General features: G+C 44.4%; 2 long non-coding RNA genes across 2 annotated transcripts in view; one reads left to right on the top strand and one right to left on the bottom strand.

Annotated features, from left to right (window-relative positions):
• The first annotated feature begins 443 nt into the window (after positions 1–443).
• Positions 444–22,026, top strand: LINC02764 (long intergenic non-protein coding RNA 2764). Its single transcript, NR_104155.1, has 4 exons — positions 444–569; positions 2,885–3,081; positions 7,889–7,999; positions 20,394–22,026. It is a non-coding gene; the product is annotated as a long intergenic non-protein coding RNA 2764 (long non-coding RNA).
• LINC02763 (long intergenic non-protein coding RNA 2763) overlaps positions 14,330–23,725 on the bottom strand; it is a 59,685-nt gene continuing 50,289 nt past the window's right edge. Inside the window, exon 3 of the long non-coding RNA NR_120559.1 lies at positions 14,330–14,953. This is a non-coding gene — a long non-coding RNA (long intergenic non-protein coding RNA 2763). The remainder of the gene's footprint in view (positions 14,954–23,725) is intronic.

The raw sequence follows: 23,725 nt of genomic DNA, 5'->3' as shown, positions 1-23,725 counted from the left end.
ATAGGAAGGCTAGGACTGGGCATTCCTCTCTACCTATCACATGATTCGATGAGCACAGGGTGCTGTGGTTTGATGTATAGAGTCTGCCTTTCTTAAAGGAGCCCTGATTGTGGCCTGGAGGGGCCTATGTGACATGATTCCCGTGAGGCCAGCCTAGCAGAGGGCAGGATGGCTATCTCTCTACTGTGGCTACAGCTGCCTTTGGAGCTTTCTCAGGAATCCCGGGTGTCCACTGATTGAACAAATGTACACAAACACAGCAGAGCCTGCTCCTGCCAGAAACAGACTCAAAGCTACAGCGACCAGTCCCAGAAAAGTTCCCCCAGGCCAGCTCAACTCCCACCAGCAGGGGTCACACCTGAGCAGCCAGAAGGGTGAGGGGCCCTGATAGTCTGGCCTACCAACCAGCAAACCTTTGTATGCTGCGGGTGAGGTCCATACTCAGTCAGCACATGGAAGGGGAACTGGAGGAGAACATTAAGCTGAGAGGAGGTCCTGGTGGGCTGGGGCCAACTCCCCAGGAGCAGAGGAAGCAGCCAGCAGCCTGGATGGGCAGAGGTGAGACCAGGGTAAGCTACACCTCAAATTGTGCCTCTGCAGGTGGCTACCAATGTCACCTTAATGAGGTGTCTCAGACAACCAGAGGCAGCTGTTCACCTGATGGCCCTTCCCGGCTAGTGGCAGGAGGCTATGTCACTTCCCCTCGAATGCCACCCCGGTCAGATGGCCAGATAGAAGCTGAAGTAGCCCTGAGTCAGTCCTGGAACCAGAGCCCCCACAGTGGGCACTGAACAAGGCCATGACCCGTCCCAGCTGAAAGGGTAGAGAGGGCCCTTTCCATAGCCATTTGGGTTCTGATTTTTTATTCTTTTCCTCTGGAAGAAGAGTCAAAGGACCTTCCTCAGCAAGGGAGGTGGTAGGAACGAGGGTGAATGTCACAGGCTGGGTTTGGATGCTTTTGTGGTATCTCAGAGTCTGAGCACGAGACATATCTGAAAAAAAAATCTTGAATAAAACATGGAAAATGAAGTCCACCTTCCAGAGTTTTTCTCATAGCTGGGAGTTGGGGCATCTGTGGCAGCTGACTTCATTTTCCCCTTAGCATCTGAGGTCCTCACAGCAGGCAGACCCAGCTAGACTTCAGATGACTCCATCCACAGGGGAACAGGATTCAAATCGCCTCCTGATAACCTCTGGGGACATTATTTTTCCCCCTTCTGGTTAATTTCTATTTCAATGTTAAGCAGAGACCCTTCTTGCCTCTCGGCTACTATCCCATTTATTAGTTTAATTTAGAAAAGGACTCTTTAAAACATTCCATTGAAATGATTATCCTGGACTGGGAAAGGAGCCCCAGCCACAGTGGGTGGTTTGTGTTGCTCGGAGGCCATGAGGCTGGCACTGGCTCCCCGGTGAGTGATGGGGACACACCCTGTGGCCCGGGGCTAGAGGACAAGGGCTAGAGCACAGTGCCCTGCACCTAGCTCCTTGATGGGTCAGAGCCCAGTTAGGCTGTGTGCAGGGGGAACAAGATGGGTGCACCCACAGATAGGGGGCTGAGGTGGGAGAGGGTAGGCATGGGGGGCTGACCCCAGGCAGGACCAAGACCTGAGCTTACAGGTACAGGGCAATCCCCAGGATGCCTTGCTGCCCTCAGTCTCCAAAGCAGGCGGAAATCCTCACCTGTGCTTAGCATTCCCCTACCTCTGTGGCAAGGAGTCCTGCTCCCTGAGGGTGACTACTTGGTCCCTGGCCCTGACTGCCCCAGGACAAAGTACAGAAAGGTCTGTTGAGAGTCAGCAGGTGAGGTTGGAAGAGGTAGGCTTTGAGGCAGACAGAATGAATCTAATTCAGACCCACCACTCACTGGCTAGGCGACCGCGGGCAAGTGAGTTAATTTCTTTATGACTGACTTTCTTCCTCTGAAAGCTGGAGATGATGATAGCTACCTCAAAGTATTTGGTAAGGAGAGTGTATGAGCGCAGGAAGAATGGCCAGTGAGGAGCCTGTCAAGTAGGTGCTCAATAAAAGTCCTTTTCCGCTTCCCTTTCCATCTGAGTAGGGCCGGGGGAGAGGGCCCAGCGCTCAGCCTGGCAGATTTGCTGCCAGCCCTATTGGTACCTGATGCTCTTTCTCTGAGTCTCCTACTTGAGGGGACATGATCCACAGGGAGACAGAGCCTCAAACCTGAGACAAGGCCAGCCTGAACAGAAGCTGGACAGATGCTAGGTATTCACTGGGCACAACCCCTGGAGGCCATGTAGGGAAGCACCCACAAGCACCCACATTTGCATGGTGTTCTATAAACCTCAAAGCATCTCGGCCTATGTTTCAGCATTTGCCTAATACCACCCTTTGAGGTAGATAGAGCAGGTATGCCCTTTATCTTTCTCATTTTACAGACGAGAAACCCAAGGTTTCAGCAGTTTCTATAACTTGCCCAAGGTCACAGAGCTAGTGAGATGCAGAGTTGGGGTTCAAACCCACTTCTTCCGGCCTCCAGTCCAGTACCCTTTCCACCATGCCCTGTTAACAAGCATCTTTCCACTGAAGCTTCTCCTGAGGCTGAGGAGGAGATAAGATTCCGTTCAAGGTTAACCACAGCCTCTGAGTTGGAAGGACTGGGGTGGGGGCTGACCTATCTGGACTGGATTGTTGATTTAGTGCTAGCTTGACCCCTTCAATTAGCTGCTGGACAGAGCCAGGCCCAGGAGAGATGAACAGCAGGGCTTAATGGAAATGGGGATGCTGGTGATGATATGAACAATCTGAATTATGGTCTCAATTTGCACAGAGCCTGATAGATTTGCAATAATTCCAAACCAGGTCAAGTGTCTGTGTCTCCTCTTTTGCTGATCTCACACAAGGTATCTCCATTTGTCAGGCTCCGACTCCCTCTCTCCCAGAAGCTGCCCGCCCCCTCTTCCCCCCTGCTTTTGCAAAGTTTTCTGAGTTCCATCTGCAGTACTCTGACCTGAGGGCACCTCTACAGCTGGGCCCAGAGGGACTGAAGCTGCTACTAGCATGGCACGGTCCTGGGAGCTTTGAGGACACCCACAGAGACAGACGGTGCACACCGAGGTAAGAAAAGGGTCAGCTCTCCATCATCCCGAGGCCTCATGCTGTGGTCATTTTTGTTTGTTTTGAGATAGAGTTTCACTCTCATTGCCCAGGCTGGAGTGCAATGGCATAATCTCGGCTCACTGCAACCTCTGCCTCCTGGGTTCAAGTGATTCTTCTGCCTCAGCCTCCCAAGTAGGTGGGATTACAGGCACCTGTCACCATGCCTGGCTAATTTTTTGTATTTTTAGTAGAGACGGGGTTTCACCATGTTGGCCAGGCTGGTCTCAAACTCCTGACCTCAGGTAATCCTCCTGCCTCAGCCTCCCAAAGTGTTGGGATTACAGGCGTGAGCCACTGCGCCTGGCCCTGTGATCGTTTTTAAGACAAGGAGATAGCATAATTTGGTATCTTAGGGGATCATCTTGTGTAGGTGTAAAATGGCTACAATTAATGGATGCAGAGATACAGTTGCAATATAGTCCTCCTAGTACCAGGAACTAGGACAGCAGAGGCCTGAAGTAGATGCCACACCCTCCTCCAGGCCAAACCAGGGATAACTGACCTATTCCACAGCTCATCAGCATTCTTAGACCTGTGCACTGACATCAGCTACACTGTATGGCACCCTAGGCAAGCCTGTTCATGGTTCTGCTCCTTCCTTCTTAACCCTTGGTATGAATTAATCTATATAGATTGCTACATAATCCACGATTGTTGGATAAGCATCAACTACTTGCTCTGGGATGGGTGCTTTGGGATAAAGAAGACTTTAAAAAAAATAACTATTACTATCATTTATTGAACACTTATTATATGCCAGGTATTGTGCTAAATACATTACATACATTATCTCTTCCTTTCTCATTTTTTTACCTTAAAAGGTAAGGTCTATTATCATCTCCATTGTATAAAAAAACAGAGGCCCAGAGAAGTTAAGTAACCTGCTAAAGGTGACATAACTGATAAGAGGAAGAAATACAATTTGCACTCAAATTTGTCTTGGTCTCAAAATATGCTCCTGACCACTAAGGAAAGATACCATCCCAACCTTAAGGAGCCTAAAACCTAATAGGAAAGAAAAAAACATAATACACAAGGGACACAAGGATAATGAAGCAAAACAGCAAAGAAGATGCCACTCTGTGCTGCGTAGATGAGAGACACTTGGCCTTGAGAGCGATGAGAGAGCAGCATGGGTCAAATCAATGAAGAAACATTTGAGTAAGCCTTGGAATGTGGGAGGACTGAAGCAGGGAAAGAAGATGTATCTAGTGAACAGAGTAGAGCAGAGAGGCCCCAGCAGGAACTTGGGGCATGGGAGGAAGAAAGCCTAGAGAGAACACTTAGAGCCACATTAGGAAGGACCTTGAGTGCCGGGATAAGGAATATAAAATTGGTCTCTTGGACAATGCAGAAGAGCCTTCAGCTGAGAGAACATAGGGGCATGACTGCATCACAGTGTGGGCAGCAAAGAGCTCTTGCCCCACCTGAGAGACACAACCTTCCTGGCACTCAACACCTGCACTGAGCAGCCACTGCAGTAATCTATAAGACAGAATGTGGAGACTTGTGAATAAGAGGACCCATTAACAATCCCCACCTTCTGGGTGTCAGAAGGTTAAAACAGAGAAAGACAAGAGAGGAGAGAGAAGGACAGGGTGGGACTAAAAGCAGAAAGATGACATGAGCCAAGTCCTGAACCCCGGGGAAGGCTGGGGGACACCCATGGCCGTGAAGCTGTCTGAAAACCTACAGGTGAGATCACCAGAATACACCCTGGGGCCAAACACTCCCAAACTGGGGAGCTGGGGAAACTGCTTTGTATAGCATCGTGACCCAGCTCACTCCTGAGCAGTGAGCTCTGTAAGAGCCAAAATACTCGCTTCTCGTGGAAGCTAAGATTGGTAGTAGCCAAGCCAGCTGAAGTGTCTGTTCAGCTACCACAAAGGGCAAGGCTGGTGGAAGTGGGAGCTATGTTTTCACAGCTCCAGTTCCCCTCTAGCAGGGCCTGTGGGTGGCAGGGGCGTACTGAACAGCAGGTGTGGCTGGCTGCCCCAGACCATCAGCCTTGACCGACCCAAACAGGAAATATCATCCATTGGTTCTGCAGCAATGGCTGGTGAGCCCCACATGCTATCTGTCCCACCAGACAGAACTGTGCCTTATGGAGAAAGAACAGCTGACATGTTCTCTATGGGAAAGGTACAAGTAGGACCTGGAGGTGGGGTGGGAAGAGATCACAGGACTTAAACTAGTCCCAGCCTAGTAGAGGTCAAGCACTATAGAAAGTCACCTTTAAATCATTCCTTGGAGGGATGTGAAAGTCATGGTTGACTTCCTGACAAGAAGAGTTTGGTGAAACTCTTGGAAATCATTAATTCAACACTTTACAATTGACAAGGTCTTTTACTTACATTATCCCACCTAGTTGCCACTATAACCCTTTGAAGTAGACAAAAGAGATATCACTCTCCGCGTTTTACAAATGAAAAAAAAAAAAAATGGAGGATCAGAGAGGGCTATGTCTTGCCCAAGGTTGCGCAGCTCAAGAGTAGGATTGCAGGGATTCATTCCTGGGCTCTTCTCTTCATAGCCCTTGTTTCTTTATTAAACCCTGTTGCCTACTCTACAGTGACTGTCGGATTTGAAGAAGGCAAGACCAATCCTAAAAAATAAGAACCTTAACTGGTCACTCATCTTGCACAGAAATAGTTTGTTTAAACTGTTTAGTTTCATAATGGGTTACCCTGTTATATCCCAGAAAGGAGGAGGTGCACATGAACTGAGGAGAAGGTAAACTGAGATCCATTAAGTCTATTGAATAGGCTGGGTGTTATAATAAATATCTTTATTTAACATTCATTATTTATTCATCCATACATTCTACAATTACACTCCTGAAAGTTAGGCACTATCCCAGAGGGACATGATGAAAACACAGAAGACATGACCCTGTCCTCATAAAATGTAAATTCTAGTAAAGATTATAGAAAACAAACAACCAAAAAAACCCTTCTGCATTATGCTAATGAAACAAAGAAATAAAAGACTTAGGTAGATAATGGAAAGAGAGTATGTTCTTTAGATACTACAGTTAGAGAAGGCCTCTGTGAGAAGCTCTCATTGGAAAGAAACCATGGAAGATCATTTCAGGCTGATCATCTGGAGCAGTAGGCCACACCCAGAGGAGGAAGAATCTATAGAGTGTTTAAATAAAGTCAGATTCACTGGAACAAACAGAATTGGGAACCCATTCCTAAAGGGGTGAAAGTAAGGACAGATGGCATAGTATTGTATTAGGCAGGGGAAAGAGCTGGGTTTACTCACACTGCATTAAAGGATTTTATACAAGTAGGTGGCATGATCTAACAGATATTTTAGGATGGTCATTTGTATTGCTGTTTGGGGAATACAAGGGGTAAAGTTGAAACAGGAAGCCTAGTTAGAAGAGTATTTCAATCATTCTGTTGGAAAGAGATGGCAGCGTGGATTGGGGAAGGCAGTAGAAAATGGGAAATGAATGCAGAATCTATTTTGGAGGTATAATTGACAGAATTTGCTGTTGGATTAGAAAGGTAGGAGTTAGAGAAAGGAAAGAATCAAGAACAATTTCTAGAGTTCTAATTTAGGTAATTGGATGAGTGGCAGTGACATTTATTGAGACAGAGCAGGCAAGGCAAGAGAGGTTTTGAGTGAAGAGGTGGGAGTGAAGAGTTCTCTTTTGGATGTATTAACTCAAGATGTCAGTGGGACATTCCAGAAGAGATATGAAGTAGATATTTGGATATGGAAGTCTGGAGTTCAGATGATAGGGCTGGGCTGGAGAGACAAATCTGACAATTGTCAGTACCTACATGGCATTTTAAAGTCACGGGAATGAGAATACCTGGAAAGAGAATGTAGAGAAGGAAAAGGAGGTCTCATGATCTAGCCTCAAGGAAGTCCAGCATTTGGAGGAGGAGAACCCAGCAAAGAAAACTAGAAGTGGATCATGGGGTAGAAAAAGAAAACAAACACAGGACCCAAGAAGTCACAGCATCCACAAAGAGTTTCATGTTTCAAGAAGGAAATACAAACAACAGTGTCAAATTCTGCTGAGAAGTCAAGAGGAGGACTGATTTGGCCACTGGAAAGTCATCAGTGACCTTTAGAAAAGCAGTTTCAGTAGAGTGTGGAAGCAGCCAGATGGGAATGAATTGAGTTGTAAATATGAGGTATGAGACCAAGACAAACAACTCCCTCCCCTACCCACTAAAAAAAAAAAAAAGAAAAGAAAAGAAAAGGAAACACTGGGTGAATTGCACAGGGTTGAGGGAAGGTTACTATGTTCTTGATGTTTCATAAGTCAGGAGATGCTAGAACATGTTTCTATGATGCAAATGATTCAGTACAGTGGAAGAAATTAATGACACAGTAGAGACAGGGGATAACCAAGAAATACAATCTTTAAGAATGTAGGAGGCAGAACCAGAGCATCTGAGAATTGACTTTTAATAGGGAAGAAATCCTCTCTCCATAATAATAAGAGAGGAGGAGGAAATTGTTTCTGATGCAGGTGGATTTGTAGGATCAGTAGGGAATTAGCATCCAGTAGCTTCTATTTCTTCAGAAAGGATTGAGGTCACCTATGGAGAATGAGTGCTGATAAGGGAATGTGGAATTTGAAGAGGGAGGAAAAGATGTGAAATGATTATGTTGGGAAATGAAGAATAAGTCTATTAGAACACAATAGAGTTGCCAGGCAGCTATGAGTCCCCAACTGAAATGTGTAATCATGAATTAATTTCTTTTAAAAAAAACTTTGTTTTGTGGCTTTCTCCATTAGGGTTCCGCTGCTCAGGAACAGGCATGGAGAAGAAAGTTGCACTTAGAAGCCCAACAGGAGTTTTGCAAGACAAAAGTTTAATGAAAGGAGAGAAGAGCACAGAAACTGAAGGTATTTGTTAAGGAATTGTAATGAAAAACTATAGAATTTGAGCTGGACTCGGAAGGAAGTAAAGCTAAGCAGGTGCTGGTGGAAAATGAGGGATGAGTGGGGTCAAAGGATTAAGGGTCTCCAAGAAGGCAAAGATTTGTAAAACAGGAGGTATCAGTGCAAGAAAGGTAGAACAATTGGTAAGTTGGAAAATGATGTGTTTGAAATTGAGATTTGCAAAGTGGTGTAGTTTATGTTGCCTGCAAGACAGAGTATGGTCATAGGAATGAGGAGGACCACAGAAAAAAACATGGCTGGACATAAGAAGGTCAAGAAGAAGAGGGGCCAGGGTGTTGAATGGCTCATCCCTCTGCTTAGCTTATGCTTTGTTTAGAGGCAAGTGGAAGATGTGTACATACCTTCACATGAATCCACCATCTTTCCAAGATGTAAATGCCTCGCTTGAATTAAGAAGCGTCCATATGACCTGTTTCAGCATTACTCAAACTTGTTCTTTATGGCTAAACAACTCTCAGGCATGGTGCTCTTTATGGAGCATAATGAAACATGGACATATTAAACTTAAAATAGCTCAACATAAAATTTTTTTACAATATCAGATACCATCTAAAACTAGATTTTAGCTTCCATAAGTGGGGTATCTAGTGTCAAAGGCTTAAGAGAATGAATTAAACTAGAGAAATTCTATCCACTCACTTACTGCTTTCTGAGTACTAGGAAAAAGACACCCATCCCCTGTCTTCTCATTCTTCCCTTGAGAATGATGTATATCTGATGCTCTGCCTAAATGGGTCTCCAGGGCTCTGAGAGGAAGGGGAGGGACTCCTGGCCTAGGAGACGGGGGAGTTGAGGGGCTCCACCCCCAGAGACTTGGTAATAAATGGAGCTAGAGCTTCTTCCTCTTGGTGCTCTAGGAAGGGAATCTAAGTAGGGATTCTGAACAACAGGCCAGCCCCATCCACATTTCTAGGTAGATCACATGAGAGCTTCAGGTAATTGCCTCATTTTACCTGGCACATGTTTGCTAGTTTTATTACACAGCTTCTTTCTGTTAACTAGTGGTTTTTAAATATCGTAAAGTAGATCGAGACCATCCTGGCCAACATGGTGAAACCCCGTCTCTACTAAAAATACAAAAATTAGCTGGGTGTGGTGGCGCACACCTGTAGTCCCAGCTACTCAGGAGGCTGAGGCAGGAGAATCGCTTGACCTAGGGAGTCAGAGGTTGCAGTGAGCTGAGATCACGCCACTGCACTCCAGCCTGGGGACAGAGTGAGACCCTGTCTCAAAAAAAAAAAAAAAAAAAAAGTCTGAAAGTGAGAAACATTTATATGCTTCAGAAAGAGTAAGGAAACAGGGAGCCAGAAAGACCACATCCTCCTCCTGAGATCATCTTAGAGGGTGCTGGGTGGAGGATGACTTCAGTGGACTCATGTCAATCATTTACAGTCTCTTGGTCCACTCCATTGGTTTATCTGAGCTGAACACTCTGAAACATGAAGACGTGAAGCAATTTAAAAAGAAGTCCATTTATTGCACAGATGGACCAAAAAGTAAGATGGAAAAGGCACCAGTCTCCCAGGCTATACTGTCTATTCTGGGCCCCTGAGTAAATAAAAGACTCACACTGACCTGATGTAAGAGGCCGACGGGGACCAGAGAAGCACTTGATCCCACGTGTTCATTCTGACAAGTTTAGACAAGCCTAACACCAGATGAGTCTAGCCACCCAAGCACATGACCTGGGTCTGGGCCTTTTCTATGCCCCTTCCTCAAACTCCAACTATTATTTTACTTCTTGGGATATTCAGTAGACCAAAACATTCATCTGTTGGGTCACATGAGCCACAGAACACTGTTTTGAGCTCACGGTACATGTGGAGCCATTATTTGAACCTTGAACAATGGAAAGGCCTTCACTTCTGTCTTTTCCCAAGGGGGAAAAAATGTCTACAGAAAAGATCTCCATACATCGAATGCACAAAGTGAAACATCTTCACTTTGCTCGTCTTAACCACCAAAGTAAGATAATCACAACAATAATTAGAATTTTTAAATATCCTCTACTTAGAGAAGGAAACCCCCAAGATGTAAAATCAGCTGTGGCAGCTATCAGAAAGGGACAAAAAGCAAGCCACCTCCCAGGAGTCTTTAAGAAAGGAAAGCCATCTGAAAGGGTGCTTCACTAGCAGGAGGCTTCTTGGCAATAATGGTGATGATAATTTGTGGGATGTATATACCCGAGACTTAGGAAAAGTAGCAGATAGCAAACCTAAAAAGAAATGTCTTCCTCAACCCTCACAAAAAGAAGATTATTACCATTTGATGATTCTCATTGTCTAAATGCTCCTTAAGGGAGCCAAGGGAATTGAATGTCTAAAACTTGAAAAAAGGGTTAGAAATCTAGAAAAAGCTTAGACAGTGATGAGAGTTGGGATAAATGGGGAAGGGGCTCTTTGTCCGCCCTAGTGGATCAGAGCTCACTGCTGTTATGAGAAAGAAAGAGAAGATCATCTTCCTTGTAACTTTACTTGTGGGTTTCCGGCTTCTTGTCTCACTTTGTCTGAAATCCTTCTCTGTACCCTTTCCAGTATTCCAGTACAGGCACCTTTAAAGATGCCACTGATTTTACCATAAGATGAGAGTATTACAGTCATGTTCAGGTTGTACAGGTTTAGTTGTATCTGCCTCACTTTCTGCTCAGCCCTCCGGTTTGGGCTTTAAATTAACTGACAATGGGACTCATACACATTGTTAGAGTATAAACCAGCACAGGCTTTTTAGAGGGTACCTTGGCAGCAAGTATTTTTTTAAAAAACCTCTACGTGAGGGCATTCGCTTGGACCCAGCAAGTCCTGTTCTAGGAATTCATCCTAGGGAAGCAATTAGACACGTGCCAAAAGATTACACAGCTAGGATGTTTGGCTCAGCACTGTTTACAATCATGAAAACTGGGGAAAAGATTCAATGTCCAGCAATAGGGAGTTGGTCAAATACTGTGACACAGTCAAAATGTGAACCCCTAAAAATAATGATGTAGAGAAGTATTTACTAACTTAGACATTGATACGCAATGTATTTTAAATGGAAAAAGAAGACCGCAAATATTATTCAAAACCATACTATTTTTGTAAAATCTACATATATGAATAAAAAAGATAAACACCAAGGTATGTATTAGTGGAATGGTGAGTTATTAATGTTTTGAAGGAAACCAAAATATTTCTCTCTAAAATGCTGGAGACTATTGAGCTAAAAAAGATTGAAATGCAGGGCATGCTTTGCTCCTCCTCTCTGCCTTCCGTACCCACAGGTAGGCCCCTTCCTTACATTTGCTTATCAGCTCAGAAGCAGAGCTCAGAGACAGCAGCCGCCAGAGGATCTGGGAGCTGACTTTACTCTTACTGTAAATCTACCTTCCCACATTTTCCTGCCTTTTGGAAGCCTGAAGATACTCTCCTCTTTGTCTTGTCATTGAATAGAATTTATGGCTCTTTGTTAAAATACTATTTAAGCAAGGCCTCTAAAGCCGCTGCCTTGAGAGAGAAAAAGAGTTTTGAACTGAGGCCTCTTCTGTGTGATGGGTACAGCACATGTTAATAAACTTCTGCTTGTTTTTCTTTTGTTAGTCTGACTTTTGTTTTCAGGAGTGTATCTCAACTTAGAACCAAAAAAGATAAAGAAAAGAAATGTTTTCTCCCCTACAGTTTATAGTTTCTGTTTCCTGCTTTATCTGTATTTTCTAATTTTTTATAGTGAACAAGTATTGCTTTTGTAGTAAAGAAATCATCTTAATTAGGCTTTCCTTAAAAAATTAAAAATACATTTCTAAGGCAAAATATATCCCTTCCTCCCTCTCATTGCCATTTTCCCTCGTAGGAGCAACATCTATTACTAGTTTCTTGGATAACTTCAATGACACTGTGCATGTGATAAGGACAGAAGGCAGAGAAATTCTAGGCAGAAAAGGGCAGGTCCCCAACAAAACCCCACCCTCAAGCCTGAAACCATGGCCCAAAGTGAGAACTGACATCCCTGTTTTCCTGCTCGAATGTTGCCTTTTCCTAAATCACCCATGGCCCACTCCGCCACCCAATCCTGTGCCTATAAAAACTTCAGACTCAGCTGGCAGAGAGGTGAAGCAGCTGGACATTGGGGACTATGGCTGGGCATTAGAGAGAAGCAGTTTGACTGCAGAGGGACAGCTTGATGGCGTAACTGTGGAGAAGAATCTGGCTGAAGATGGCTGGAGCTCAGGAGAAGATTTCCTTCCCACCCCACTCCCTTTTCAGCTCCCCTTCTAGCTGAGAGCCACTTTCATCAGCAATAAAATCCCCCACATTTACCATCCTTCAATTTGTTTGTGCAACCTCATTTTTCCTGGACATTGGAAGAGCTCAGAAGCCAAGTGTGCAAATATAAAAGGGCCAACTGAACTGTTAACACTTAAGCTGTCCATGGATGGCAGAGCTAAAAGAGCACTGTAACATGCCCTCTGGGGACTTAGGGGTCATGAACACCCCACTAGATGCTGCTGCTGGGACCGCACAGAGTTTGCTCCTGCCAGTGCCCAAAAACACTCTCCCAAGCTCCTGCACCTGCTCATCTGCATGCTCCCTCCCACGAGGGGTGGAACACAGTGTGTCTTGGTGAGTGGAGTTCACCTCTGCCAGTGTGGCAGTAGCCTGCTGGTTCCAGTGCTTGTGCACTCTAGTTCCCACCTTGTTCACTCATGCACTCCCTCCCACGAGGAGTTGAATGCTGCAGGCTAAGTACACAAGGTACCCCTGTCACAAGTCTTGCAAAGGGGTCAGGGAAATATCCTGCACCACCTGTACACATAATTAAAAAAAAAATTTTATTTTTCAAAACCATATTAAATTAAACCTTAAATCAGAGAGTCAGGAAGGGCTGGTTGTTGTGGAAGGAAATGTATCCTGGGGTACTTTTCAACTGCCTCTGACAAGTGGGGCTGGTACCAGGCTGAAGTGAGCAAGGCACTTGACTTGGGCACAAAATGTAAGAGGGTGCCAAATACTCAGTAATCAAGGCAAAGAATATGTTAATACAATATTTTAAGAGTCAAAATCAATGCAAGTACTTTATGAAGAACAAAATCAAGACAGGACCAGATTACTGTCATTTATTTTCCCTTTCACCTCAGGCTTCAATATGGCTCCATGTGGCACTATCACTGTCAGTGGCAAGAAATCAAGTGATAAGAAGAGAGAATGTTGGGGGTGGGGCAGGGAGAGAAAGGGATCTGACCTACACTGACTGTTCACTCTGTGTCAGGACTGTGGTTGACACTTTCTAAACGTTATTGATAGCAGGTTGAACCCATCTTTCCCACTCATGATGGTTCCCTCTGGATGGAGGAAGCTCTCCAGAGTAACACTCTGACCTTCTCTCCTCTATCCCTAACCCCTCCACAAGGAGATGGAGTCAGTTACCTGACTGGTGGGTGAGTTTGGGAGAAGAATTGTGCATATACAACCCCGCCCCTTCCTCCCTCTTCCTGGTGGGATGTTTCTGCCTACAGAAATATTCAGGAGCCACCTTGAGTCAACAATGACCTCACTTTCTTGGGGAATTGGCTCCCTCTGTCTAGAGGGAAGGCCCCTTTCAGCCATGTTCATACTGTATACACTTGACCTTCTGGTCATAGCACATTAGACCAGGGTGGAAACCTGACCAAGCTAGACCAACTAGAGTCTCTCTTTATGGACTCTGGAATTATGATCTAAAGAGAGCTAATTTGGTATGTGTGGAATTAGGCCAAAGAGAGATGCAGTTCAGTCTGTGGCTGGCTAAGCTTTTAACAGTGAATCTAGGAGCTGGGAGATAGCCACCTTTCACTCACTATGGGGCAGGAGGTGGTCACTGATAAGGTGGTCTGCAACAAAGCAGACATGAAGATGGAGACAAGAAACAGTGGCAGGGTCCCTGTGATTCCCAGGTCCTGATTCCAGACCCTTCAGAAGCTGTGTTCCTGCCATTGGCCTCCATGAGATGCTCCTGTGTACCTAAAATAAGGTTCCTTTTCCAAGCATAAGCTGGCTCAAATTGGTGTCTGTTACTTGTGCCTGAAGAGTCCTGACCACTACAATCATCTGTGTTAATATCATCGTTATTATTCTCACCCACAGTCATTTCATGCAAGATCCCCCAGACTCATTAGTCTGCTAGATTGCTCTCCTGTGCTCTTTCATTACACTCCATAGAGTTTTTTATCCTTTGGATGACTTAATTCCTCCCCCTACCACTGACTCTTGTTGGTCAACTGGCTGGGGCTGGCATCATGAACAGCAAAATAATTTTTCAAGACAGTTGTGGGTAAAGAAAGGCAGATTTATTAGAGAAAGTACAAAGATAACGTTGTAAGAAAGCAGTGGGCAGCACAGCAGAGAAGGGACTGTCTGCCAAGAGGCAGTGGCTGGAGGGAAATTTTATAGGGTCATGCTGGAGGGTCTACATGCAGACAAAGTCATGCTGCTGGGGCTACATGCTGAGCAAAGTATTTGAGAACAGGATGTGGGGCTAGCAGGTTGTTTGTGATTAACAGTCTCTCAGAACAATTGTTCTTCCCTACCTGGGGCCCCTTCCTTGTTGTTGCTTACTTATCAGGACCCATCACTGACACCACCCTGTTATTCTTTTCCCTTATAAATACCACCCCCTGTGAATAAGTAGAATTGTTTTGCATCATTTACTTTCAAGATGTATTAGTCAGTGTAAGCAACACCAGCTACTATAAAAACCAACCCAAAATCTCGGTGGCTTAACACAATAAAAGTTTGTTTCTCACTCACACAAAGTCCAGTGTTCTTGTTCAGGCACCTGTTCTAGTAGGTTCTTGTCCAAATGGTGACTCAGAGATCTGCAATTCTTCCACTGTGTGACGACTCCATCTTCTAGGTCCCCATAGCCCTTCACTTGGCTTCTTCCACTTGGCTGGGGATCAGGAAAGAGCACAGAGGATCACACAAGATGTTTTGTAACTAGACAAGTCTAGAAGTGGTGCACATCATTTATAGTCAAAACCCATTTGCCAGAGTTCAGCCAAGTGGTTCACCTAGATGGAAGAGGAGTTGTGAGATATAGTTTAATTGCATGTCTCAGAAGGCAAGAAGAGTAGGTTCTCTACCACAGGAAAAGGAATAATGTCTAGCTCTAGAGTAAAATAACTACTAGTTCTATGACCCTCATAAAGTCATAACCTCTCATTTTTCCTACCTTCTAATGTTAAGAGTTATACATCAATCATTCAAAGTGTATTCTTTGGAACCCAAGGTTTCAAAAGAGATGTCCCAGAGGCAGTGGTGTGCTGGACCCAGCTGATACTAGCTCCTAAAAGCCAGTTGCTCAATTTTTGAAAATTTTGCTTTCCTGTTCTTAATTGAAGTCATTATAAAAAATTAAATTACGTGCATATAAACTTATAATTAAATTATATTAAAAACAAAGGTAGTAAGTATTCAGAATTTACCACTCAATTAATTTACTACATCAAATTCTTAATACCCTTGAGGTTGTTTACAGCAATTGTAGGTTTGGTGAAATAACTGTATAATGGTGCATATAATTCTGAGCAGCAGTCCCAACTCTACCTTCAGTCTTGCCACATCAGTAGCTTAAAGCAGTGGAAATATTCACACCACAGAAATCTGAAAATGCGACAAATCAGGGCTCCCCAACCCCAGAGCCAGTTGTTAAATATTTACTAGCAAACCAGAGCCCAAGGCCAGAGATGGTGTGATGGTTGGGGGGTAGTGGAGTTGGGCGGGGGGAGGGAAGCCCTAAAAAGAGACCACAGAACTAGAAATGCCCCCAGGGCCATTCCACCACCCCACCCCCATCCACTTCAATCACAGCAGGATGTGGTTTTGTTAGTTTTATATCCTGGGCTTCCATGTGAGCTTTTGTTTAATAAGGGACTTCTCCTGCTTTAAAAGAAAAATATTTTCAAACTCCTGCATTACAAAATTTATAAGGCCCCTTCTCACCTATTCATTTTTTCCTTCATGCATTTCATTTAACATTTACTGATGCTTACATTTTATGGTGTAGACAGGGCAACAGCTTGTTTGGTCAATTTTGATATTAGTTAATGTTCTACCCTCTTCCCAAGAAAAGGGAAAGAAAGTAGAATTACCATGGATTGAGTTCTGTAGTTTAGGTGCTATCATTATCATCATCATTCTCGTCTTTCATGACTAGCATTTAGATGCTAGTCATTCTCATCACACCCACAGAAAAGGAAAACGAGATTGAGAAAGTTCAGAGGCCCGGCCAAGGTACACACAGGGAGCAAGTTGCACATCTTCCCCATGCCTCCTCCTGCACTCCTCACTAGACCTCGAACATTACTTCAGCAAACATTTGAGCATTTTCCATGTGCCTGACACTGTTCTAGGTGCTCGATGTACATGGGTGAATTCCTGAAGAGGAACAAATTCAAATCAAATCAAGGAAGGAGAATAGGGTCTGGAAGGCGGGAAACCTAAGCATTTCCTAGAACTAAATCAAATGGAAACACTTCAGCTATGACAGGAAATATCCACTTCATTTACATAGGACATACACCAAGTAACCAATGGAAACCTATAGAGGGTTTTTAAACCCCCAAAAAATCCATAACGGGGCCCTTGAGCCCCTATGCTCAGGCCCACTCCCACCCTGAGGAGCATACTTTCATTTTCAATAAATCTCTGCTTTTGTTGCTTCATTCTTTCCTTGCTTTGTGTGTTTTGCCCAATTCTTTGTTCAAGATGCCAAGAACCTGGACACCCTCCACTGGTAACAAAATGTTAGTGTGGATTTGTTGGGATTAGACCAAGGAAAGCATCCTTTTTTTAGTTCCGGCTTAGCCTCAGCCAACCAAACAGCTGTGTCTCAAGCTAATTTGATCCTCTCTTTCATTCCTTTGGAACCACACCCCCATTGACTTCCACACTGAGTGCAGAAGAAAGCAGGACAGAAGAGGATGCACCAGAATGAGGCATGAACTTGTGAAAAAGTCATCATTAATAATAAAGTATGCACAGCATTTTGCTAACTCTCTGCACAAATCGATAGTCTCAACGTCTTCCCAGCCTGCTGAATTTTCCTAACTCCTTCCAGGCTGCAGATGTGGGCAAACTGCCATACTGTAAACCTTCTCTCTCCTCTGGGTCTCATTTGCTCTCTGACCAGAACCTAGTAAGGCCTTATCCCAACTGAGAAGGGCTAGCTGATGACTGTCACTTGGAATTTGCTAAATCAGATGGTTTTTTAAAAAAATTGCATTGAGTTCCTTTGGTCTGTGATAATGCAAGAAAGCACGAATCAAGAGTTTCTATTCCCATGTTCTAAGTAGCTGGAGCTGGGTAGCAGTTGTCAGTGTCTGCTGGGTGTGCAGAGCTGTGTAAGCCCCTGCAGAGAGAGAGACAGAAAAGATCCAAATGTCATGTGAGGACTGGGTGAGGAACCCAGACTACTAGCTCCCTCTCCAATGCTCTTTACCAGATTGCTCATCACTTCCAATTGTGGTCGGCAACAGTTGCAGGGCTCCTCTCTGTCACACTCCTCCCAGTAGGGAAAGGCCCTGAGCGTTCTGCTGTGCATCCCCTCGGAGCCTCCAGCCAGCTCCAGACGCTTCACCAATCTTTGCTGCTTTCACCCACTTTCTCCCCTACCAACATTCACTCTGATTTGAGGGCTCCTGAAAGTCAAGACAGGATACAGAGGGTGTGGCTCTGCCCTCCAGGTATTCCAAATTACTTGGGTAACCATCGTTACATCTTTAGGAGTGTGAAGTTTAGTTATGAATTCATCCACACATACCTGCCCACTTTATCCCCTTCTCTTCTCCCGGGCTCCTGAGACTTAAACAAAGCTCTCTGTTCCTAGGACAGGTGACTTGGCAGAAACACACACCCTGTGAGTTCTTTTGAGGAAGGCAATGGAGAGTAAGATGGTATTAGTCAGTGTTCTACAGAGAAACAGACCAATAGGGTATAGATATAGAGAGAGATTTATTTTAAGGAATTGACTCACACAATTCAGGTGGCTATAAAGTCCAAAGTTGTAGGACTTGTTAGCAGCCTGAAGACATAGATAAAAGCTGATGTTGCAGCCTGAGGCTGAATTCCTCCAGGCAGCAGCAGGTTGGAACCTCAGGAAGGGTTTCTGTGTTGCAATCTTAAGACCAAATTGCTTCCTCTTCCAGAAGCCTCAGTCTTTGCTCTTAAGGCCTGTCAGCTGATGAGATGACACCCACCCACATTGTGGAAGATAATCTGCTTTATTCAAAGTCTGCTGATTTAAATGTTACTCACATCTGAAAACTTCCCTCACAGCAATATCTAGACTGGTGTTTGACTATACAACTGAGCTTAGTCAAGTTGACACATAAAATTGACCATCACAAAAGTGTTCTCACTTCAGAGGCCCTCTGCCCTCTAGCCCTTATAGTGGAGTAAAATGGATTTCTCCACCCTAGAATTTGGAAGAAGGGGTTTAGAAACAATACCCTTAATTATCATGAAATAAAAAGGAGCTTTGCCATGTAATGCAAAACAGGAGGAAGAAAATTTTCACAAGAAATAAAGATGAAATTAAGTTGCTAAGAAGAATATAATTTCCCAAGTGAAGGTTGTGGAAGGAAGTTAATCCCTATTGTAGGGAGACGTGTTTAACTTAGAAGACATTAGCAGGGAAGAACAAGCCATTATTCAAAATGGACCTTCTTCTCCCAACACTGCCACCACAACCACGTTACTCCCATTCGTGGGCCCAGAATTCACCCTTCCTTCCCCATCTACCTGTGGAACCAGTAGCTACTGAGGCCAGGGTCCATCCTTCCCATACAGAGCCAGTAGACAGCAGACCAAAGGGAAAAGCTACTAACCTGCAGTGTACACTGTGTGGACTCACTTAGAATCCCAGACTTGGCATCAACATTATTTTAAGCTGAAGATATTTGAGATTCAACAGATAGAGAAAGATGACTTCTCAGAGCTTCCCTTATCTGACTCAACAGAGATACTTCTGAGAAATGAGAACTGCCATAAATTCCCTCTTTGGGGCAAGTCTATTCCCAGGAGAGAAACCAAGAATAAATCTACCATAAATCTCCTCTCCGGGGGAGTTGTATGGCCATAAAGAAGACAGAGAGACCACCACACCTGCATAAACATTATCTTAAACTTTACCTCTTATTTGTTCTCCTAAAAACCCATTTGTCTTTCCTAAAGAAACCTATTTGTCCTTCCCATAGAAGCCTTTGCTCTCCCTACCTTTTCTCCTAAATTAGGTATATAAGCTCCAAATTCTAACCATCCCTTTGAGTTACACATCACTGAGTACACTGTGTCCATGTGTACACATTTTGTGTGCATAAATAAGCTCTTTCTTTTCTCTTGCTGATCTGTCTTTTGTCAGTTTAATTTGCCCATCCCCAGGTACAGGACATAAGAGTGTATAGAAAAAGCTTTTCCTCCCCTACAATACCAAGACTGAAACCTACCCAAAGAAAAGGAAGCACTAAATGAACATGGGCTTTGCTCTTTCTTTAGGAACAGGTAATGTCTAGGGAGAAAAATAACTGGAAGCAGTACATCAGAGGAAGAAAGGATTAAAAGAAAATAGGGAGGAAAGGAGTAACATTGTGGTCAAGGCTGGAAATCCACCGAAGGCCCAGCAGTGTCGGTGTGGAAGATCCCAGAGAGCTTGGCAGCAAGGCTTTGCTCTAAGTGTGGAAATGAGGGAGGTAGACAATTGACCAGGGTAATAACACTTGATTCCTGAGTAAAAATCTTCTTAATCCGTCTTACTGATCCAGTAGATATACCCTTTGGGAAAAATAGGTGAGGAAATACTTGCAACAGGCAGGAGAGAGAGGATGCCCTCCTTCCCAGCAGAATGGCAGCTCCACTGGTCAGAGAAGCAGCAGCCTGTACCAAATAGCTCAGCTGAAGAAACAGTAAAGCTTATTGCCCAACCTTTTCCTCCACAGAGGTAGGGGCCAGACGCAGATATTGAAGGACAGAGACAAATGGAGACCACCATATGGGTTACAATCTAACTAGCCAACGGCAGTGACCAAGAGAATTTTGTATCAGTCGGGATTCTAACAGAAAACACATAGCACACTCAAATTAGGACTACTTGAGGAGGCTTTAATGAAAGACTGTTTACAGAAATGTAGGCAGGGCACGGGGGGAAAGGGAGAATGCATTAATCCAGAGGAATAAAGGAAGGGGCAGTGACCAGAACCCAAAAGAAATAAGCTTGCAGAGAGGGCTTCCTTGAGAGGCGCAGTGATCAAGGAAGACCACCAGCCCAAGGCAAGTCTGCGGGAAAGAGGCCAGGGGAATAAATGCCCTGACCCTACATGTCCCTTTTCCTCCAGTTGACCACCTGCACTCCTCCTTGGCCAACCTCGACAGAAATCTAGAATTCAAGGAACCATTGCTGTGATCCATCAAGTCAGCCCCAGGAAAGAGAGCAGAGCTGAGAGGGCTGGAGAGAGAATCTGGAGGAGCAAACGGAAAATACCTGACTGGGTACCAACATCCAGGAGAGGATCCCTGTGTGTCAAGGATCCTCAGAGGGACAACTAATGCATAACAACAGATAATGGGTCCACACTCCTTTCTGCCTCCTCCTGATCGCAAAACCCACTACACACATGTAAATGCACCACACACACACATGCCCACTACACACAGATATATATATATAGATACACATCCACACACATAGGGATACACATACATAGGGATACACATACACACATACATACATGCACACATTGCACATGTGCACAATGCAACATACATGCATGTACACATATAAGCACACATACATATGTGAACACATGCACACACACATACCCACACTTAATCATAGTCTGCACATGGTATCACTGCACACTGCTCAGGCTCCTCCAGATCAGTCAGAAATTATAGGAGATAAAACCAACAGAATTTAAACAAAGACAAGAAAGACCTGGAATGATGTGCAGACTTGTCTAATTATTGCTATTTTTAGAACTCATACTGCAAGTGGTAGAAAAGAATGGGGGTGGGGGCTGCTGACCAAAGAGATTGCTTCATTATTGGAAACAGAAGATAAGTAGGCTGAAGAGGGTGATTGGAAAGTTGAGAACAGGGAGGCAGTTCTTCCCCTCTCCCCTCCACCCCCATGTCTCCCTCTCCCATTCCAGGAGCTGAGCACTAGGAGAAAGAAGGGCACATGAGACCAGATGATGGAAGCTGACCTGGCTTTCCACTCTGGCTACAGACTTTCTGGATGTGTGACCTCGAATATGTTCCTGAGGGCCACCTCTAGCCTATAAGGTGTCTTTGTGCAAATAGAAGACACCCCTTTGCACAAGTAAATAAGAGAATATTCTGGTTGGATGCAGCATCTCATAGTTCCTGATCTGGCAAACAGTGCATGGCTGAATTTCCACCCTCCCAACAGTACATTTGTGCAGCATCCCAGCTACCCAACCACATGCAGCAAGCAGGTGTCACTTCACATCTGTAGACCCCTGCTTGTCCTCTCCATAAGTGAAGATAATATCTGCAAAACAGGGAGATCCAACACAGGAGACAAAATGCAAGGCGAGAACCAATAATTAAAAAAAAGAAAAAGTCATTCAAGGTCTTAGGGTGCAGGCCACCCAGGACAAAGACTGGGAGGAGCATGGGTTCTCTGCCACATGTGAGGGGGCAGTGAAGACCAATTCTGATTGATATCTTAGAGTAGGAAGTTGGAGGATTTAGGGATACCCAGTGACTGAATTCTAGGTTACATCATCGCTATCATTAATTTCTTGACATAGAAGCTGACCAGCTCTCAGCATTTCGTAATCATTGCAGAGTGCAGGCTAGGGGCTCTGGGGCTCCAGCCCTGCCAGTCTGTAATTGATGTAGGTTAACTCTATTCTCCAGTTTCCTCATCTGTAGAATCAGGTAACTGATGTACTTCTTTCACAGAGGAATTACAAAAATAAAACAGAATAATATCTGTGAAAATGTTTTGTGACTCATGTGGGATCATTTGGATTCTTCTTGTTGCTGGTTGACAAAATGTTATTTTCGATGATCCCTGGGCTTTGTTCCAGCCTCCACCTGGGGTCACTTGCCCAACTTGTTAGGAGCTTCACTATCAGCTCAGGAGGTAGGTTTCCAATGTCTTCTGCATGTGATCCAGGAAAAAGAAGGCTTGTGTTCCAGCAGAAAAACTTCAGGTTAGACTTAAGGAAGAACTTCCAGACATTGAATCAGGTGAGTAAACAAGAAAGTGAACTTTGTACTGGGAGGGAGGGAAAAGGTCTTTCAAAACAGGATTGAACCCCTCATCTATTGAGAGTGATTTAGAAGTATGTTTGGATTGACTCCTGGGACACTCTGAGCCATGGAGATAAGAGCTGTACTTATGAGCCCCTTCTAGGCTCCTTTCCAGGCTCCAGAGGTTAATGTTTCCATTTAAATGGAAATTGAGTGCAAAATTATTAGCAACTCTTCAAAAAGAACCAAATTACAAGAGGCTGTTCTTTGTACAGTACAAACAGAGCTGCTGTTCGTGTCCTGTACCTTAAATACGAAGGTGAGTCCTGCTGGTGACTCCTCTACCCTCAGAGGAGCTGAACCCCTGGAAATAGTTCATTTGGAACACAGACTGGGAAGCCAGAAAGCTCCCCTCTGGCCTCGGATTCTAGTAAGCCCCAAAGAAGGGTCAGATGCAGAAGTTCCAAGAACATCTGCAGAATATGGGTCACATCGGTTCTCACCTCACCGTCATCGCCTGGCACATAAAATCAATCCTCATTACTCACCAATTCCATATTTGCAAATTCACCTCCTCGCTTAAATTTATGTATAACCCCAAAATCAATGCCCGAAGCACTTTTTGCGGTCATTTGCAAGCATGCACAGAGCAGTGACAATTTTGAGAAGCCTGATGTGCACATTCCCAGGTGAGATGGAGCAAGGGGAGGCTCTGCCTTCTCATTTCAGCTCTCATACTATAAACAAATGTCCTTTTTTATTTTTGAGACAGGGTCTGGTTCTGTCATCCAGGCTAGAGTACAGTGGTGGCACAATCATGGCTCACTGCAGCCTTAACCTCCTGGGCTCAAGCCATCCTCCCACCTCAGCATCCTGAATAACTAGGACTATAGGCATGCACCACCACACCTCGCTAATTGTTTAATATTTTGTAGAAACAAAGTCTCACTGTGTTGTCCAGGCTGGTCCCGAAGTCCTGGGCTCAAGCAATCCACCCACCTCAGCTCTCCAAAGTGCTGGGGTTACAGATGTGAGCTACCACACTCACCTAACAAGTATTTTTTTTTTTTTTTTTGGTCATTCTACTATGTAAAATGGCCACCAAGTGTAATGTTAAAGCACTTTCTAGAATTCCTATGTGCAGGAAGGCTGTGAAGTGCCTTAGGGAGAATATATGTGTGTTAGGTAAACTTCACTCAGGCATGAGTTCTAGTGCTATTGGCCATGAGTTCAATGTTAATGAATCAACAATGCATACCAAATAAGGTGACTTTAAACAGAAACACACACAAGACAAGGTTATGTATGGATCAGTTGAGGAACATGTGACCAGAGGCTCACAGGTCTGCACTTCCCCTAGAAACAATGGTTCATTATTGGCTAATTCAACATTAGCAGAAACATCACAGAACACAACTCCTGCAAATAACAAGAATCGACTATT

Source organism: Homo sapiens, chromosome 11, assembly GCF_000001405.40.
Source record: "Homo sapiens chromosome 11, GRCh38.p14 Primary Assembly".
Lineage (NCBI taxonomy): Eukaryota > Metazoa > Chordata > Mammalia > Primates > Hominidae > Homo > Homo sapiens.
Note: the sequence above shows the minus strand (reverse complement) of the source record. Positions and strands in the feature narration are given on the sequence as shown.